The following is a 21,532-nucleotide window of genomic DNA, read 5'->3' on the forward strand; positions in this document are numbered from 1 at the left end:
AGCCTCCCAAGTAGCTGGGACTACAGGGGCACACCACCATGTCCAGCTAATTTTTGTATTTTTAGTAGAGACAGGGTTTCACTATGTTGGCCAGGATGGTCTCGATCTCTTGACCTGGTGATCCACCTGCCTCAGCCTCCCAAAGTGCTGGGATTACAGGCATGAGCCACTGCCCCCGGTCTTCTGTAGTAACTATTTTACTATGTATATATATGTATGTCAAAATATTATGTTGTACACCTTAAATATATTCAATTTCTATGAGAACAAAAGTGGATACTCATTTTCCCTTAGCACTAACTACCTCTTTGCCTGGTATAATTTTTGCTTCCTTCCTGTGGCATCATCTCTAGACATATCCTTTTAATGTATATGCTTCTTTTAACTGATTTCATTTCATATACAGTGTCAGGCTTAGGATCCTGAAAAAGGCTCTATCCAAAACAAAAACATGCATATGTTTTGTGAGAATGTTTTCTCACTTACAGATTATTCTCATTTGCTTTCAGAAGCATGGTCATATTTCAGGGTTTAAATGGAAGGCTGCTTTCCATGTGGGTGAGTCATTAATTATAACAATTATAATTTGTATATTTTTTAAACTACATGCAAAATAAAAAAGTTTTGGCTCTAAAATGGCTTAATCTCAGGAACTCATCATAGAGTAACTGTCTCTTCTCAGGAGGCATTAAATGCCTGTGAGCACCACAATCTAGTATGACTTCAGGCACTTAGACTCTTACCTCCACACCTCACTTTGTTTGCTTACTCAACTGCTAATGTTGACTAGCTATTGGGTATCCATCATACTCTCCCTGTTGATGGGGAGGTCTATGCATACTTGGTTAACCATTAACATGCAAGATGGTGTAGGAATTCAAAGAAAATGTAGTCTTTGCCCTTCATAAATTTGTAGTTTTGTAAGCTTCAATTTTTCAGCTTGAAAACTTCTGGAGTATAAGGAAAGGCAGAAAAAAACTTTGCCTAATGAGATAAACAGCCATTAAGAATTCACTTTTCCTCACTACTCTCCGTTCCAGTGTCTACTGTCTAAAATGGTCCACAGTATTGAGGAACACAGAAGCAATATTAGGCAGCTCTCCATGAATAGTTTTGAAACACTGTCTTCCTTATATTCCTCAAACATCTATTTCTCCATATGTCCCGACTTTCCTTTTTCCTCCTAGAAAATAAAAAAAAATTATATCACTCTACCATTTAATTTTGCCATAATGCTTTCCTTCTCAGAACCCCCTAAAGACTTCCAATGTCCTTCCAAATCAGATAAAAATTGGCCAGCAGCTGTTACAAGATTCTTCGTCAAATGACCGCAATGTTCTCTTGTTCAAGCAGATGAGATTTCTAGTTCAATTCATGGTCCCAGAAGAACTACTCAGCCTCCATGAGGGACCAAGAGTAGGATTCTAGCACTTGTAGGGCTCAAGGGACGGGTTCTTGGACCTCTGAAGATTCACTAAAAAATCAACTCAGGTAGATTAATTGGAGAAAAGGTGTACAAATTTATTTAACATGTATACATGGAAGCCTTCAGAATGAAGAGCCAAAAATACAATAAAAATTGTCAATTTTTATGCCTAGGTTAAATAAAGTATGAACAGCAGTGTAGAAATATAATTGGACAAAAAGTTATGATCGAATGTTAATTAGATCATTTTCTCTTGTGGGAAAACGCAGAAGGGCCTGTTTGTTTAGATTCTTCTTGATCTCTCTTGAGTGTACATTCCTTCCTTCTCAGAGGTGGGGCAGGACTCTCTCTGGAATGAATGTCTTATGACCTAAACAAGATCGATAAAATAATTTCTTTATGGCCAGTTTTTACACAGAAAGGTGGAGGAACGTTAAGTAATATTTTTAGGTTTTATGGCTGTCTTGGGGGGGATAAAGGGATTCTGGTTTCTGTAACCTGCCTGGGGACAACGGGGTTCCTAGTTTCTATGGCTAGCCTTGGAGGAGAATGAGACTGAGACAGTGGGCAGAAGAAGGCCAGAGAAAAATTTTTGCTTCTGAGGCCTTCATTTTGGGGTATTGTTTTGTGGGCATTAACACCCTGTAGTACTAGGTCAGGAGACTGATCTTATTTTATGAAATATGGCCCAATTGACATCTTAACATCAAAGACCTCATAATCTTGCTTTTCTCATTCAGTCTTTTTTAATAAAATTCAATACAGACAGCCTGGTTTCTTTACGTTGCCCTCAAAACTCCCATCTGAGTTCATTTATTTAATTTGTTTCTCTCACCTGGAATACATTTCATCTTTCTCCTTCATTTTTTCAAAGCCTTTTTCCCAACTTCAAGTCCCTTGCATGTAACCCCCAGAGACTTTCTCTGCTCTGAACGCTCTGTGGTTGAACTGACAACTGCAGTCATAAAGCACAGAGTTATCTGTGTCTACAATGTGCCAAGAGCTAGGGCTTGAAAGAACGGCAGGACAATCCTTGCAAGGCTTCCCATGCTATCAGGGAGAATGAGATGGATATTTAAGAAGATAAATATCAATATATTCTATTAGCATATGCCACCTTGTCTCTATCCACAAAGCACTGTGATATGACAGAGTGTTCTGTGTCACTCATTTGACACTTAGTATTTTTAAAACTACATACATGATGTCTTCCAACAAACACTGAGGTGTTAGTTGAGATGTGGTGATATAAAAAAGCCTCTCTTCAATAATATACAAGCTTTGTGAGGTCACACCGCTCTGTGACCCTTCTCTTTCCAAGATCAATACAACACACATGGCCCTATGTCATAATGAAGAGTGCAGACTCTGGAGGCAGAAGTCCTCTGTCTGAATATAGCTGAGCCACTTACTATGTGTGTGTTCTCGAGCAAGTTTCTCAGTGCCTGAGTTTTCTTATCTGTAAAATGGGGCAATAAATTTACCTACCTCATAGAGTATTTGAGAAAATCGAATGAGATAATGTAAGTAAAGCACTTTGCACACTGTTTGGCACATGGCAAGTCAATAAATGTTAGATATTTTTGTGTTATCTCAACATATCTAATGCAAGTGACTGGCAGTCCAATGATACAGTTTCACTGCCTCTAAGGAGTTAGGGGTGCAGCTGTAAGTAACACTTTCTGCATGATGGATCCTCTCTGAGTTACATAAAATGAAATAGAATTTCATGCCTAAAATCTCGTCTTAAATATAGTATTTTTTAAAGCTTCATTCCCTGTTGCCCAAGGGACCTATTGCAGGATTCGGGTATAAGCCGTCCCCACCCTGACCAGTGGGCTAGAAACTTTCTACTGGGCACTCACCTTCAGTCTTGGCTCTGCTGGCGTGAGCAGGGCAGGGTTAGGGACAGGACAAGCACATATCCTAGTTCGCCTAAGACCCTTACAGGTTAGGCTTGTTGTCCCAGTGTTTTTATTAACGGCACTTCCACTTGTTCCTTAGACATGTCTTGGTTTGGACAATAAATTACTCAGCCACCCTAGTTATAGAGTCTGCTATTCTGTCCCCCATTAAAGAGCAGAGTGTAAAAGGGAAACATGGGCTGAGTTTAAACCCAGCTTTGACACTGCTGCTCGTTAGCCACAGGTCCTCAGGCAATTGCTGAATTTGGCTGATTGGTAAATATCTTAGTCCATTCAGGCTGCCCTAAAAAAACACCATAGACCGAGTGGCTTACAAAAAACAGAAATTTATTTCTGATAGTTTTGGAGACTGAGAAGCCCAAAATCAAAATGCCAGCAGATTCAGGGATGGTGAGAGTCCACTTTCTTGTTTACAGATGGCATCTTCCAGCCATGTCCTCACATGGTGGAAGAGGAAAGGCCTTCTGAAGCCTCTTTCATCAGGGCACTAATCCCATTCATGGGACCTCTGCCCTAATGACCTAATCACCTCCCAAAGGTCCCACTGCCTAATACCTTAACATTGGTGATTAGGTTTCAACATATGAATTTTGGGAAGACACAAAAATTCAGACCATAGCAGTAAATTTTGCTCATTAGTAAAATGAAAATAATCATACCTACCTACCTACCTCACATGGCTATGAAAATCACATGAATACACAAGTAGATGTCCAAATATGTGAATTCTTTTGCCTTTCCTTTCTACCCTGCATGCATGCACAGAAAACAGTCCCAACCTTTTGAGGTTAGGCTGCATCTGCAGGGCGCCTGCTTTTGAGGTTAGGCTGCATCTGCAGAGAGTCAGCATGGCCTGTGCACGGCATGTGTGTTTCCCAGGCAGTGGGGAGGGACAAGGCCCTCCTGGGTCTGTGTCCCAGATCACTTAGGGGAAAGAGAGAGACCCTATGGCTACTGATTACAGGCTTTAGCTGTAATCATTCAATTACATCCTTTTATGTTCTATTTTACTGCATCTGAAAGAGGCAAGGATATCTGGATATCTAATAGCTACATTTACTGGGAGGTGAGCTACTAAAAATAGTCCCACAATCTGTGAGCAGGTTTCCAGGAAATGCTGGACTTGTTAGAGCAGAACTGCAAAGAGTCTGTTAATCAAGCCCTTCATTTGAATCACTTGCCCATGCTGCTCGCCCAGGGCTGAAGGCTTAGCTCTTGCTCATAGGAAGTGAGATAGTATAGCAGAATCTTAAAGGAATATAGGCAATTAAAGGGGAGTTGACGATTAATACTGAAACATGTATGGGGATTGTACAGGAGTGACTTTAAGCCAATTTAAAGTATCACAACACTAAAACTACCAGGACCAAATGTAATTCATTATTTTAATTCCCTCTGGATAAGATTGTCTCTAGAATTCCAAGTCTTTAATGATGATAATGTATTTTCATTTGTGGATCCTCTCATACCTCAAGCTGGAGAGGCAGAGGGCCCATGCCCTTTTTAAAAATCAAAAGTAAATATGATGAAGTCTTTTAACTTCACAGATGGATGCTACTGGAGATATTTCAGAATATTAACATACAAGATATTCCAGTTTTCTTGCAGTTCTTACAAAGGGCAGAGACAAAGCCTGATTAGAATGAGTTTGCATTGTCAGAATTTTTGAGTCTGGCATTTTCCTTGAGTTTAAATGCTATATTAATAAATTCTGAATATAGTTTAATGCCACTACTTTTTCTAACTTGAAGTCAATTATTAAAAGATCAAAAATTATTAATGTGTTTTAAGGAAGAATACTGTGGAAATGAAATACAACACACACAGTAAGCACCTTAAAAAAAAAGTTAGTACTTAGCATTAAAAAATAAATGATAAAAATACAAAATTGAATTACTAATTTATTTTGAACTTTAATAAAATAAATTAAAATACAATACCATTTGAAATTAAGGGTAACTAATCATCTGCTAGAAACAAAAAATTAAGGTTTTTTAAAAAATTAATTGGACCATTAATTCAGGATGCACTTTAAGACATTTTGTAAAGAATTTTTCATGCTCCATCTTTGACAAAACAAATGGTGGATTTAGGTAAAGGGATAAAAATGGCAGTAAATCCATAACAAATGTTTTGTCAGGAGGAAATAAACACCTTTACATGTAGTAGACAACACTATTTTGAAGTGGGAATTGATTTCACCTTATACTTCAGTTTTGTTTCAAATTGTTTATTTCTGTTAAGAGATAGGGGGGAGTTCCCGACAAAAATCTTTCAATCGGCTGTTAATGAGTCACTTGTGGTCAGGTTCACAGACAAAAGCCTTTTTATTGACTGAGCTGGGTCAGATTTCCAGATTTTTCCTACCCTTTTTCATACCATGAAGACAAAACAAGTCAGAGGAGGAGTGTTGTGGGGACGCCCGTCATCTCAAGTTTTTGAAATAGGGGCAGCCATCAAGAAAGTTGCTTCAAGGATGGGATCTTTTTCTGGATTTGCTGTGAACACTGAGACATTCTGGTTCAATCTTTGTATGTTCAGGGCACAACATTCTCTTTCTGCAAGTGATGTCATATTTGGGGGCATAGCTGTAAGTCAACAGGGCTAAGCCCGGGCTGTTCTGTCTTTGTTCTAGTTCTGCCCTCAGTAGCCATGCGGCATTAGCCATGTCTTTCAGCCTTGATATCTGTCAAATGATTGGCGATCAGGCCTCTTCTCAGGTCCCTTCCTACTAATTACTAATTCTATCTATATTTCCTGTTGTTTATAATCAATATATAATATGCGTGTGTGTGTGTGTGTGTGTATGTATAGTTTAGGTTAGATAACTACTCATATATTGGTAAAAATAAAGAACTATTTTGTTTATAATAATGCAGTTTCAAAATTCAAAACAAACTTTTTACTTGATTCTTGGTCTTGTGATAGTTTAAAAAATCACCTCTTACCACCTTTTTTGGGGCTCCAGTCTTAATTTTAATCACAAAGGAAGTGGTAATTTGTTAGGCCAATAACAGAAAATAATAAAAATAGTTAAAAAAAAATGTGAGGAGAAACAAAAGGCAGACCAGGTTGAAGAAAGTCATTTCTTTTCTTCAGCAACATCATGATATGTGGTAAATTAGGAAGTGTGTTGATACACACTGTGTATTTGTGTATATGTAGAAGAGGAGGTGGTATGTTGCTAAAGGAGAGTCCAAGAGATGATTAAAGGTCAAATGTCAACCATTTGGCTGTGGTTTTTATGTGCCTTTTACATTTATTGCTCCCCCATAAAAGTAAAATGTGACTAGTTAAATAAGTGTTGCTAAAACAGGATATTGAAGTTGTAATAATGGGAAAGCATTGCAAAGAACCCTTAGAGAAATTCAAGTCATTTCACATATTAATTTCTTAAAATTGATTTTTTTCTTTCATGTTTTTAAGAAAAAATTCACTTAAAATAATAAAGACTTCTACATTTAGCGCCTATACATATAGTGGCTTAAAAAAAAACAGTTTGAAATAGAAAACTGTCCTCAGATCCTTTGGTATGCAAAAGCATCGCATTGAAAGGGAAATCTGCGGCTGAGCATGCTGTGATTTTAATTTTATGTTTTAAGTTATTGGAATAAAATACCAGACACTGATAGTCACACAGTTTTAAAAAATCAACCTAAGACCTTTATCTGTCATACCTCCTCTCCTGGGGAAAGACAACGTGGCAGGGCCTTGCTTCAAGAGCCCAGAGAACTGGCTTCTTGTTCCCAGTCTACCACTTACTGAGCTGCTGCAAATTTGATTCCTTCTCAGTCTTCCTGGTTTCTAATTACCATGTCTGTAAAACAGGAATAAACAAACTTCAATAAAAACAGGGGACCTGATCAAATGTCACTTGACTTCACTTCCAGCTTTAAGATCCAGTGAATGTGTCAACTCATGACTAAAAATGCACTGAAAAGGGGGGCGGGGGGAAGAAAAGAAAACCACTCCTGGCATTCGCTGAAATAGTCAGCAGAGATTCCACTCTCTCATTCTCACTTTCCACCACACTCTGCTCCCTGGTTCTCCCCCATTCTCCCACTATCACTGCGTAGCTTACTGGTCCAGGGGCTTATCAGCTAACACCAATGGTCTACTGGCTGTGTCCTCCTGCCCCTCAACTCCCTCTCCCACACAGCACTCCTTCTTCCTCAAAACAGTTGAGATCATCATGTCCCTATCTCAAATCTTATGTTAGAAAATTCAGATTTGGTCTGCCACTGAAAGCCCTCCATAGTCCAGCTACAATTATCCTTTTTAGATCTACAGCTCTTCATTCCTTGACCCACAGAAATTCTTGGCTTCAAACAAATGATATTATTAATTTGGCCCGGAATTAAAGTGATCATATCCTGTTGCATAAATTTTTCCCAAACCATTCTCTCTGTCCCTCACATGCAATGAATTGGAGGGATTATCTTAGTTGGAGAGAACTGCTCCAGCTTCTCCAACTAAGATCATCTCAGCTATGCTTCACTTTCAGATTCAAATCCTGCCACTGCTAAAAGGTTCTCTTTCTCTCTTCCCTCTGAACTTCATTAATTAATCATATCTTTATTATTCATCTGGCTTTTTGCACTTACTCTTTTTGTTATAGTTTTACTGCCCATAGACCCATGTTTCTTTCCCGAACTGGGCTATCAAGTCCTTGAAGGATGGACCCTAGGCTTGTCTTTCTCTGTCTCCTGCACAAGTCTGCTATAGGACTTCCTGAGTAATATAAAAACAATGATAAAAATGTGTCTATGTTACGCTTACATTTAAAATCAAGTTGTCCATTTCTGTGAGATTTCCTTATTCCTTGACTAGAACTGTCATCACATGAACTATATACTCACTTGGCAAAGTATGAAATATATAGAAAACTAAACCTGCTTGCATTATTTATTCTTAAATGTCAACGGCCTTTCAAGTTATTATGTTTAGAAAGATCAGTGGCAAATGATAAGCAAAATTATTAAAGTGTTTTTTCAATTTCTTTTAAATATATCAAATAGAATTCTAATATTTGGTCATAGCATTTATTACAATTACTTTCAGTACCAAAAATTGAACACCTTCCCCTTGTCTTATGTTCTCTTGGAACCAGTGTTCTTAAATTAAAAAAAAAAAAAAAAGATAATGATTGTATCATAGCCAAAATATGCTTCCTGGTGATTCAGAATTAAAATGTACTACTTGCAATCTTTTATATCACTAACATCTGGAAAAGCATAAGACAAAGCCTAAGTGGTTTTAAGAATGACATTATTCAGATATGATTATTGTTGGAAATGGTCACAACTTGAGCTAATTGAAAACTTTAAGGGCTAGTTTTTATATTACCTTAATTTTCCCCATAATAAAGTGAAAGGCCTATTTCAAAGAAGTCTAAAGGTCTCTTATATTATAGGAATTAGTTACACACCTAGATCATGCTTTGCTATAATTCACCTTGTTTTTACATTATGTTTTATGACCTTCAAGGGGAAAAAATAGAAAACTATAATGAGAAACTAGAGAGGTTGAAAATGTAGGTGATTTTCCTGGCTTGTTCTCCAGTGAATTTCTAGTTGTGTACCCAAGGCCTTTAAAACTATCTAATGGGGAACATTGTCTTTATCTGAGGCTTCTTGCTAAAGAGACCATGGAGAGGGTTCCTCAGCCTCCCTCGGTGTCCCTAGCTGGAATTATCACTCTTTCTTTAAACCCAGCAGTGTTTATGCCTCTCAAAATCCCATCCTTAGAGATGGGCAATGAAGATGCCTGTGGAATTCTCCCTCCTGTATTAGTTTAAAAAGCACGTTGGCCAGATTTTCTTTAGGCTTCTTAATCATCATTGCTTTTGCATTAAAATTTCTTAATGAAATTCCACTTCATTTGTCTCTTGACACCATCAAGTTCTGCTCCTTTGAGGCCTAAAGTTGTGCTTGGAAATTTCCCAGCAGGTGAATCTTGAGCCCAGGCTGGCAGACAGCATCTGTGGAAAAGTCTTTCGAGCCAAGCGTCAAGAGGAACTTAGAAATTCCACATCTCAGCCCTGAAGGTATATGCGCCAGCATGGAGTGCTGGAAATGTCAGGGGCTCTCATGAAGAAAGACTGACTTCTATGTAGAGAGATAATTCCTAAATACAGCTACCTAACATCATGCTAATTCTTCTCTTCTGATGTCACTGTCTGGAAATATCCTCAAGCCATCTTCTATGTTCCCTAAATCTCTTAAGGAGGAGGCAGGAAGTTCTTCAGACCAATTATATAAGTTTTGGTTTAAAAGCTTGATTTTCTAGGGAGCTGTTATGAACACAAAACAAGTATTTCATTTTTAAGAGGCATTTGTTCTAGATAAGTTTTTGGAAACCATTTAATTTAGACCAAAATCACTTTTAGACTTTGCCATGAAGGGTCCCATTGGTGTTTGTTTAGTGATTTCCATGTGTAAATGTGGCTCTTCTGTTACTTGTCTTCATCCTGTAATCTGCCTGGATGAGTCACTCTTAATAAGTGGCTCTCCAATGAGCTGGTCCACAGTTTTCACAGTGGTTTCAGTGGCTCTAAAAATGACCCCATAGGAAAAGAAGACTGTGTATGAGCTACCTCCCCCGACCGAGGAATTCACAGAACCTGTTAGTTTAGTAAAGTCTTCAGAATTTCAGCAGTGCAGAAATGTGATTGGCTTTGTGTAACAGTGCTTCCAAACTTATTTGGCCATGAAACTGAAAATGTGGATTCTGGTTTCATCCAGAAAAATTGGTATTTCTCAGAACACACTTTAGTAAACACTGGGTTAAGTATCTTGCCTTACCAAAAAAAAAAAAAAAAAGGAAAGACATGATTTTTTTTTTCAACACAAAATATAACAAATAAACAACTATTCCATTTTTATCCTACAATCATTTTCCATTGTCTAACCACAGGCTCCTCACTATTGTTTCAGATAGTGTGATCTCAGGTACTCTAAGTACACACTGCTCATTTTAGTCCAGTTTTGAGGAATGTGTGTTTAAAATGTGACTTTAAAAATGTGTCTGGGAGCTGGGCGCGGTGGTTTACACCTATAATCCCAGCACTTAGGGAGGCCGAGGCGAGCAGATCATGAGGTCAGGAGATCGAGACCATCCTGGCTAACATGGTGAAACCCCGTCTCTACTAAAAATACAAAACAATTAGCCGGGCATGGTGGCGGGCTCCTGTAGTCCCAGGGAGGCGGAGCTTGCAGTGAGCCAAGATAGCACCACTGCACTCCAGCCTGGGTGACAGAGCAAGACTCCATGTCAAAAAAAAGAAAAAAAAGTATCTAGGGATTCCATATGCTGTCTGGAACTGAGAAGGGTGGCAAACAGCTTGGGCTTCCACACACACGCACATACTCTGTCCCATTTCAACTTTTTTGTTACATTGATAGTGGGGCAACAGGACAGATAGCCTGGGTAAGTTTCTTAAACATCAATGGAATTTCTAATGAGATGATTGAAACTACACTCTATTAAATATTTAAGGCCTAAAACATGATTAGAAAATAGGATCATCTACACAAAAACTGTGAAGGTGGAATTTCTAATTTAAAAAAAGACAATCAAAAGGAAGAACTCTAGGCCCAGTGGTACTTTCTTCATTAATGGACTCTGGAATAATAATAACTTCTAGTTATATAAGGCATAGGACAGAAAGCACACAATGCTAATGATCTGAGTGCCTTAAAAACACTAAATGAGAGGTGGAAACTCTCCTCTGAAGGGACTGCAGAAGACAGAGAAGAAGAAGGAGCTGAGTGGTCCCAAGACCCATGATCTTGTAATTTCACCAGTGTCAACCTATAGCCAGAAAATGATGAGTCGTTCCTCTGCAATGTAGCAACGACCCTAAAATCCCCTGGTCCACTTGAATTCTCAATAAACTTATCTCTTTTATAGCCAGTAATTTTTTCAACACTAAGGTTTTATTTTCAGAAGGTTAACTGTGGAGGAGTCAGAGGAAAACCACAGGATACATTTTTTTTTTAAATCATAGTTTACACGCTACCTTATCCCAAAACTGTATTGTCCCTCTGGTTGCCCACGAGCCTACTATGAACCTATACCAAAGCATGGGTTCCCGAAATCAGGCCTTATTTATTTGCTTTGCAAGGAGAAATAATGGTGAAGTTTGGCCTGTGAATTTCATTTCCTTCTTCCCTCCTTGCACTTACTTACATTTTTCTAGATGGACATCCCTGACACCCAGATTGCTTTCTCAGGCTATCACAATCCAACCATTAGCCTAATTGCCATGCCAAGATAGTGTCTGATACTCCACGGAGTGCAGCAACAGAAAGAAGTGCAGGGCAAAAGGGAGCAGAACCGAAATACAGAGAAAGAGCATCTGGGGAGTCTTGGGCAAGAAAGCCTAGAAACTGCTGATTTGATTTGGGTCAGGCCCATGGTATACAACAATGAGGGAATACATTTTAAATAATACAAACAAATCTCATACCTTAAAAAAAGAGAAAGGCCATGAATCAGATAGACTTTTCTTTGAGCCATATTTCATATGAACTTAAGAAATAGAAAGGATGAAGCCACATGGAAAGGGATCCCCCACATAAGTGGGTGGAGAATTGTACCCTTCAGTGCTTATCATGAGTGCCTGAGGAAGCAAGAAAGTGGCTTGCTTGGAACTGCAGAAAGTCAGATTCTTCCATAAACATGAGAGACAGGTCTGGGGTCTCAAGTCTGCAAGGTAGCAACGTGGGTTAAAATACAAAGCAAAAGTCTGGATTTATGCAGAGTAGTAAAATGTAATAATTAAAATGGTCAATATTTATTTGGTGCTTTACATTTTAAAAATATCCTCCACCTTCATTGCCTCATTTGATCCTCAGAACTCCACCACGAGGGAGGTTCTATACTAAATTCATTCAAAATTGTCTAGCGGAATCTTTGCTTTAAATATCCTAAACCATTTCTATTAGATTCACTTGAACTGTAGCCCCAAGTCAAGCATTGTAAGACCCAATCTCTAGGAGCTAGTTTGAGTCTCATACCTGAAACTCCCATAGGAAACCTTGGTCAGACTCTATGTCCCAATTTTGCATTCATAAAATATTTTCTCATTTCACAGTTGAGAGTACTAGAGCCCAGAGACATCAGATTCTTTGCCCAAAATAACATGTCCTGAAATACAAACAGAGGTCTTTTGATTCTGGAACTATCTTCTGTCCCTTGCACCAGGCTTTCTCTTATGGCACGCTTGCAGATTCTATTTGGCTACAGTGGAAGTTCCTGGTACAAGGCCTTACTCTCTGAAAGCAACCACAGAATATGTGCTGAATTAGTTAAAATGAAGGAAAGCTTTCAGCAGTCTCTCAGGGTCCTACTTGAGTCATCTATAAGGTCAGAAATGAGGCACTCCTGCGTGGCCTGAGTCTATGGGCCCGAAATGGAGTTCAGCAGGCACTTAAAACATCACCGCGTGAGAAAAGTAACAATTTCCATTAATTCTGACCCAACTGTTTCCCTGGCTTATGGTATCATGATGCAGACATGGTTAGGCTAACAATTAAAATAATAACCGAAATTTGCCCTCCCCACACACATCCCAGTGAAGCCCCTGTAAAGTTCCCCCAGGACATTTCTGGGAGTGTGAGGAGCTGTCTTAGGTGTGTCTCTTCGATGGCTGTGAGCTCTAGGGCTTTCCTTCTTCACCAACACACCACTCTGCCGCCAATGCTCATAGAGCCTTCAGTGCCACCTGAAACAGACCTTGACACACCAACACTACCAGCCACAGTGCTAGGGCACGCTGTCCTCCCCACAGAGGCAAAGAGATCATTCTGTTCCACACTGTGTCACACTGAGTTACTGCAGATCCCTTTACCCCTGCCTCTCATGATCTCATAGAGACCTTCCAGCTTTTCCTATCTCACTCCAATGCCTTAGTCCATGTATCCTAGAAAACAGGGAGGCTAAGGAAACACATCACCACATGAAAACTCCAATGTGAAAATCTCTACCCTCCCGTTAAGCAAGCCTGGTGGCCCACCAACTTCTCAACCTCATTAGATAAGCCCAGATATGTCTCAGTGTCCTCTAGGCCCAGCCTGGACCCTCCCTCCTGCATCCTCAAACAGTTACAAATGCAATGGCTGAGGCTAAAGTTCTCTCACTCCCTGGGCCACAGATTGCTAACTGGGATATCCGTTCCCTTGTTGCTCCACTTTAAGCCTGACCTTGATATTCATCTTACCCACAGTTCTCTGAAAATTTTGGAGCACTGTGCTATAAGTTGTTCTCTGCCCCAGGTAGGAACTTCCTCCAGAGATGGACCTGCCTTTGATTAGAGGGTTCTAAACTGCTCCAGGCCCCACTCTCAACCAGGACTTCCATAATTTGGAGTGCATTCAGAGAGACGTTGAAGGATCATTAAATATTTAAAGCACTGAGAATATTGGAGGAAAACAAAAGGCTCTGGGGTCACTGGCAGCATCCTGCAAGAGAAAGAACATGAGTTTTATAATCAGAGAGACCTACATTTAAATCCCAGATTTATCTTAACAGTAGTGTGACCATGAGCATTTACTTTGCTTTTCTAAGTTCCAGTTTTCTCACATCTGAGATGAAAATTAAAGGTACTTATTTGATTCCCCATGTTGCCTAATATCTAATGAGAGATATTAGAAACAATGGGAATTTTTTATGTGTGTATAATAGAAGCCCATTTATTCTTGCTCACAATTAAAGGAATGTTGACTTTAGAAGTTTGGAAAATAGGGGAACTAAAATTCTTGTTTTATAGAAATGATAGAGAAAATGCTCTGCCCTCCACCCAAACATAGGCCTATCACTATGTGGGAACCCCTGAACTTAAGGATTTCTCAGAGTCTTGAAATACAGAAATGCTAAGATTTGTCAAATCAACTGTCCTACACCAAATAGTTCCTCCCCTCCACCTTCTAGTAGCTTCAAGATGTGAATCTATGTGAAAATATATAATGATCTTGCATTTTAGGATAATGTTTAACAATTTTAAGATTAGCAAATAAATTCAATTTCAGATTAGCAAGCAAAGTTTTAAATTAAGCATAGGCTGAGTGCAGTGGCTCATGCCTGTAATCCCAGCACTTTGGAAGACTGAGGCGGGCGGATCACGAGGTTAAGGAGTTCAGGACCAGCCTGACCAACATAGCGAAACCCTGTCTCTACTAAAAAAAAAAAAAAATCAGCCGGGCGTGGTGGCGAACTCCTGTAATCCCAGCTACTGGGGAGGCAGAGGCAGGAGAATCACTAGAACCCGGGAAGTGGAGGTTGCAATGAACTGAGATCATGCCACTGCACTCCAGCCTGGGTGACAGAGCAAGACTCCATCTCAAACAAATAAAATAAAATAAAAATAAAAATTAACAAGCATTCCTTTCTGTATTCTGAATATAAGTCTGTCTTATTTTTACCACTGTAGGACAGAGGAAAAAAGACTATACATGTGTATGTATGTGTGTATGTATGTTATGCATGCGTGTATGTATATATACACATACATGCATGTATATATACACATACACAGATACATATGTAATACACATACGTATGTGTGTGTACATAGGTGTGTGTCCTGGTAGTCACAACTTATACTAAGATAGAAAGAAAATCCCATTATAGTTGATCAGTACTTTTCTTGAGGTTTCCTTTGAAGTAAATGGCTTTGTTGTACAAACTTACTTTTTGATTTATTTGCAAGGTACACTTTGTATGTGAAAGGCCATATAAAAGAAAAGAAACTCTCATAAAGATGAAACAATATTCTTGCTATAGGAATAAAATTTTGCTTGAATTATTTTTATATTATTTTATAATTATATATAAAACAAATAAAATATAAATTAAATATTTTGTATTTGCTTGAATTATTATATTATTATAAGTAAATAAATATAGCAAATTATATTATAGGGAATGAATAATATTGGAAACTGGCAAATTGTCCTGAGTTGTGATAAGTTAATAAGATGCATATTGGTGGTCATCTTAAGATCCTGCCTGCTGTTAGAATAAATGAGTTAGACATCCCGCAGGGACCTCCAGTACTTCTCCACCCTTTACCCTGGGAGGATCAGCTGAAGCGATGTACCAGGAGAAATACACACTAGATGTGTTCCGAAGTTCCCCCTGTACACTAACCACTTTACTATTTGGGGGTCATAGAGCTCTTTAAGCTAGGATAAATATGCCAGGTATAAATAAATATGATTTAAGATATACATGACATTGATTCTCCTCCAAACTCATAAATTTTATAGTTTTTTTTCTCTCCATAAAGGAGAGGATAACCAGTTTCAGACATAGGTTTTAAGGAAGAAGTGAGGTTTTCTTTTCTAAAGGTCTTCAACACTATTGTGGTTATGATATAAATTTTAAACTGAAAATTGAAAGAATTCATAATCCATAAAACGCCCATGGCATTTCCGGGAACACTTTTAAATTGCTACAGTATGAGTTGAATAAGTATTTATGCATTTAACAAGGGACTATTCTCCCTTGTTAACTAGACTGAGAAAAGGCAATAAAGTATTCAGCTGCCTAGTGAAGTCTTTCTGATAAAGAATTCAGCTATAATAGCTACTTGACCAACAAATGCCTTATTCAGGGACAACTTTAGAAATTCTCAGCTCACAAATTATTGATAAAAATTTATCTACTAAAGAATTGGAAATGAATGAAAATGGAAATATCTCAAATTTGTCTAAATAATCAAAGACCAGGGTTTCATTGTCTTTTTCAGTAGAGAAGCTTTTATTAACCAACTCCCTTTGTTCAGCATTTACTTTGCGTTCTCTCAAGTCACAAGATTTCTCTTTTGGAAATTTTATCAGTTTAGACCAAAAGAGTCCGATAGTGCTGCTTGAAGATTTCATAACCATCTGAAAGAGCCCATGTAGCTTTGAAAGTCAGCTCTTAGAAGAGGGCTGGGCATTTTACTAAAGAGCTGTGAAGAAAGGCCCACAATACCTTCCAAAAACTTGCCTGATAAACTGTAGTAAATCAGGACTCAATGCACAATTATGTTGATCTCAGGTGATACCAAGAGCACAAATACTGAAAATCACCAGATAGCCTCAAAATATTGCTTGGATAATTGGTTTTGAGTTTCTCTCTTTCCAAGACTTTTTTTAGAGCTGCTAAACATTCTAATAAAATAAAAGTAAAATAATAAAATAATCTAAGTGGTTAAGTTGAGCTTCTCTTCATGTCTGAATTACTAAAAGGAAAAAGAGGACAACGTATGTGAAAAGGAGAATAAAGGAACTAGATAATCTGTATCTGAAATCAAGCTATGAATAATTTGAAAAATACGAAGGTAAAACTGAACATAGGACTGGGAATGATTTTTTTTCTTATACAAATCTTAATATTCAATGATGTAAAAACACTGTATCCTATAGCTCATTATTTTAAAATTTAAAGCCTATGTTATGTTAATTGTTGCTAATTGAATGGAGGTCAACTTTTGATCTCACAATACTTTGCCAAAAAATAAATAAATAAATATTTAGTTCCAGTATATTCAGAAAACCATTTTTTTCCAGCCTCACTACAACTCCAGTGGTTTTACATATTTTGGTAAATGTGAGTGAACACTTCCCTAATCGCTTTTACTCACAGTCATCCCTCTGTGCTTCTGAAGTCATCAGTTCTGAAGTTATCCTTTATTTGACACTTTGCACACATTGTTACTTTGTAATTTTTCTTATAAATTGTTTCTGTCAGGGTACAGTGGCTCACGCCTGTAATCCCAACACCTTGGGAGGCCAAGGCAGGCAGATCACTTGAGGTCAGGAGTTCAAGGCCATCCTGGCCAACATGATGAAACTCTGTCTCTACTAAAAATACAAATATCAGCCAGGTATGGTGGCACATGCTTGTAATCCCAACAACCTGAGAGGCTGAGGCAAGAGAATCTCCGGAATTCGGGAGGTGGAGGTTGCAGTGAGCCTCTGAGTTCTCACCACTGCACTCCACCCTGGCCGACAGGGTGAGACCCCATCTCAAAAAAAAAAAAAAAAAAAAAAAAAAACCATAAACATTGTTTCATTTTCCTTGTATATATATCATGCCTTCCTAAATATCATTCAAGCTTTTCAAGATCAAAAGCAGAGTCTTGTTATATCCCAAGCACATAGACCTAAGTGTCCTCCAAAGGCTAGGGTTCCATATGTGTGGAACAGAGAAACTCAAGGTCATTTCTCAAGGGGATCCCACTTCAGAGCCCCTGAAACAACATTGGCCTACCAAGATGCTCTCAGGTGAGCCCAAGTAAGAGAGCACAGTAGACTCTGAATGTTGACCTTAAATTTCCTGTTTTGTTTTCCACTTCTAATGCATTACTTCTAATATCATTTCCCAGGCCACAGTACCTAGGAAAGTCCAATAAGAAAGTGGGCTCAGACGTCCCTGCATCATCTTCTTGGCCACTTCCCACATGCTCTGGTGTCTGGTGGTGCATGGATTAGACAGGTATTTTATGCTTTTCTTTTCTTCTCTCACCCCATTATCAATTTTCATATTAACAAGGTCATCATGTGCTTCTCACTAAAGGAAGAGTTCAGGAATGGAACTGGAAATGCGCAAGTGAATTCATTTCTTCAGTTTTCAATGAATTGTGGAGTCCTCCTACGTATTAGTTAGAGTTCCAGGCATTAGGATTGCAATAAGGAACATAGTAAACAAGGTTCCTGCTCCCATGAATCTTCCATTCTAGCAGGGAGTGGCTGACATGGCAGAAAACAAAAAATAAGCGAGCACAAAAAATGAACAAGAGATAGTGCTTAATAACCATATATGTTCCAAATAAAATAAAACAGAATGATGTAGTAAAAATGAGTGTTGGTGTGTGTGCTAATTTAGGCAAAGAGGCCTGGTAAGAACTTGCTGAGAAATAAACATTTAGATGGACGTCAGACTGATGTGAAGGAGCCAGCCCCAGGGGTTCATGGAGCAGAGAATACGCTGCTGAAGAAAGGGAAAGTGTCTGACTGAGCTTTGGATGTAAAGAACAGAGAGAATGCCCATGTAGCTGTAACATGCTGAGTAATGGGTAGAGTGTACGGGATGAAGCCAAAGAAGACAAGCCAGGGGATGCAGGGTGCAGGGCCTCATTCCCTCAGAAATAACTTGGGATTTTATCCTAACTATGGTAGAAATCCAGTGGAGGGTACAGAACAGATGTGACATACATAGATTTAACTTTTTTAAAACTTTTTTAAAGATCACTCTGGCTGCTATGTGGAAATGATCTGGGTTGAGACAGGGACCAGTGTGGACACTGGGATATGCCATCCCAACAGTCAACCTGGCTTGAACTAAAGTGAACATCGAGATAAAGAAGAGTTGGTGATTTCAGAATACGTTTTGCCGGTGATGCTGGAGAATGGAAGACAGAGTAAATGGCAAAAGAATCAAGGATAGCTTTTGAGGTTTGCACTGAGAAACTGATATTGAAATGGGAAAGAAACAGACTTGGGAGAGGTAGAGGTAGAAAGCTGTGTGGCTGTGCCAAGTTTCAGGTGATTGTTACACTTCTGAGCAAAAATTTCAAGTCCAGAGAGTCAGTTCAGAGACTGATAAAATGATTTCAATGATCAGCATTTTCATCTTTGGGACAATAGTCATGGAGGGGGCAGAAATAAACTATATTCCCTTCCTTGAGGAGCCAACAGAACGTTGGCGAGACAGATATGACCATAGCTAAATGTTATAGTTAATATTTTCTGGCAATTGCTCTAACAGGTCCCAAGGAAAGCACTTTGGGAACATTAAAAGGAAGTTACTTACTTGATTCATGTTGCCTTTAACATCCCACTGCTAAGTTGTTCTGCTCTGCTCATCCTTAAAACATCTCTACCTTCAACTTTGGTTCTTTCGGGCCAGAGTCTGTAACTCTTCCAGGCTCATCATTTTGAAAAGGCCACTAGAAGAAATTGAAATTATTTTTCCATGACTAATTCTTCAAGATCATCAACATTTAATGGAGTCAAAACTGTCTGTGGCAGGGTTGTTGGATCGGGCTTCTTCCATGGACCTCCAGATTTTACGTTTTAGAGGCTTTCAAATACTTTTGTAGGTCAAATACTAAAGCACAGCCTTAAATAAATTGTAGCAGCTTTTAACACAACCTTAATACTATTCTGTTTAAAGTGTTAAGTGTCTAGGACCATATAATCTTTGGTGCTTAAATTCTTAAAGCACCCTACAGCTCCTGATGTAACATTTTTGTACATAATTTCTTTATTCAATGAATGCTTTACAAGTATTCAAAAAAGTGAGAGGTGGTGAAACAAATTACAAAAAATAAAGTTTATCTTAATGCAAAACAATTTTTAACTCCTCATGCTTTTTTAACATAAGGTTTAAGTGTGCCTTAATATATGTAATGATAACCATTACAGACTCTGAAGTCAAGAGTCTAGAAACTCACTGGTAAAAATTTTCATCATGGGCCGGGAGCAGTTGGCTCACACCTGTAATCCCAGGACTTTGGGAGGCTGAGGCAGGCAGATCACAAATTCAGGAGATGGAGACCATCCTGGCCAACCTGGTAAAACCCCATCTCTACTAAAAATACAAAAATTAGCTGGGCGTGGTGGTGCATGCCTTTAATCCCAGCTACTCAGGAGGCTGAGGTGGGAGAATCGCTTGAACCCAGGAGTCAGAGGTTGCAGTGAGCTGAGATGGTGCCACTGCACTCCAGCCTGGTGACAGAGCGAGACTCCATCTAAAAAAAACAAAAAACAAAAAACAAAAAACTTACATCATGAGTGGGCAGGCTTTAGAAAGAGTTGCAACAGGATACTGAGCAAATACACACACATACACAAACACACCCATGCAATGTAAACACATGCCAAACTGTGGATGGTACTTACTTATAAATAATAAGTTTAAAAGAACATGTCTGATTGATAGATAAATAACTATAGATTCCAATCAAAAATAATTTTTCAAGGAGCTATGTTGTTTTGTTTTTTTTTTTTTTTTCAGTAGAAAACTGAGTTTTGCTAAGGCTCAGTGCCATTTCCAAACCCCCTGCCAGCCCAGGGTCTTGTGTTCTGCCTCATCTCAGGGGTCGTCCTTTATTAGAGCATCCTAGGATGTCAGGCCTAGAAAGAACCTCAGAGATTATCCAAGTTGGCCACCACGTCCACCCATACGCATGTACTTACTCCATTCACACTCTTCATTCTCCTAGGAGCTGTTGCTGTGGTTCATTGGGTGAGTTTGGCTCCAGGATGTGCTTCCTCGGGGGATTGCCCTCAGGGAAGCCAAGGGAAATCCAATCCAGAGGAAGCCATAATCTGCCCCAACTCCGTCCTGTGAAAGAATGTGGCCCTGCCGTTGGGGAGCTGGGGGATGACACGAAGTTCTGAAGGGCAAATATGGCCAACTCCTTTTCTCAGCCTCTACCAAAACAAGCCTCCACTCTTCATTTATTTCTCAGAATCTGGAAGTCAGCTCAAGAAACAGAGGCATCTGCTCCCATTTAAAAACAAGTTAGAGTATTAGATTCAGCTTTTTTTTTTAAGAGCTTTAAATTTGGAGAAAAGCCTTTGTTTAATCACATCAAGTCTGTGTCACAGGCTGAAAAATGCCAGGAAATTCCAAGCTAAAGGCAGATACTTCATCTATAACTCATGCCACAGGGCTTTTTTTTTTTTTTTTTTTAATTCTTTCCTATGCTTGCAAAGGCTGAAGCATCAGAAAAACTGATTTTTTTTTTGGTCTTGTCAGTTCATGTCATAACCTTGGCATTACTCTCTGTCTTTTTTTAATTTAATAAGAATATGAGATTATACTGATCCTATTCTCCTATTTCTTGTTAGTGCTGAACAAGCACTTCTGGCGCTCACAACTCAAATTCCTGCCATGTTGCTCTGTGCCTTAGTATGTTTGGCTATGAAGTAAAGCATCTTGACCTATCATTTATCTTTAAGGCCTGAGAAAGAAATTATTTTAGCATTCCTGCTCTTAGCTCATATATATAAATCTGTGATCAATGACACATTTGCAGCTCTGAAGTTAGCACAAAACTATGAAGAACAAAAAGAGCAGAGGGGATGGAGTGGGATAAGGTAGGGGTGGGTGGAGGGGGCAGTAAAAATCAACAAAACCCACCAGCAGAAGAGTATTAAATCTCCTGCTTTATGCCCAACCGTGG

The 21,532-nt window shown here is 38.8% G+C and overlaps 2 long non-coding RNA genes across 3 annotated transcripts in view; both read right to left on the reverse strand.

The window, feature by feature from the left end:
- The window catches only part of LOC107986637 (uncharacterized), a 30,488-nt gene extending 9,610 nt beyond the window's left edge, over nt 1-20,878 (reverse strand). Inside the window, exons 1-3 of one of the 2 annotated variants that reach the window (XR_001744312.2) lie at nt 20,541-20,878; nt 19,153-19,288; nt 7,029-7,168 (exon numbers count right to left, since the gene is read on the reverse strand). This is a non-coding gene — a long non-coding RNA (uncharacterized LOC107986637). Of the gene's footprint in view, nt 1-7,028; nt 7,169-17,433; nt 18,090-19,152; nt 19,289-20,540 lie in introns of those variants that run through there. The other variant, XR_007059929.1, reaches the window with a different exon arrangement.
- On the reverse strand, nt 1,501-2,737 carry LOC124901497 (uncharacterized). The gene is made up of 2 exons (XR_007059930.1): nt 2,262-2,737; nt 1,501-1,796 (listed from the first exon to the last, which is right to left on the reverse strand). It is a non-coding gene; the product is annotated as an uncharacterized LOC124901497 (long non-coding RNA).
- Nucleotides 20,879-21,532: the final 654 nt, after the last annotated feature.

This window comes from Homo sapiens, chromosome 6 (genome assembly GCF_000001405.40).
Source record: "Homo sapiens chromosome 6, GRCh38.p14 Primary Assembly".
In the NCBI taxonomy this organism is placed as follows: domain Eukaryota; kingdom Metazoa; phylum Chordata; class Mammalia; order Primates; family Hominidae; genus Homo; species Homo sapiens.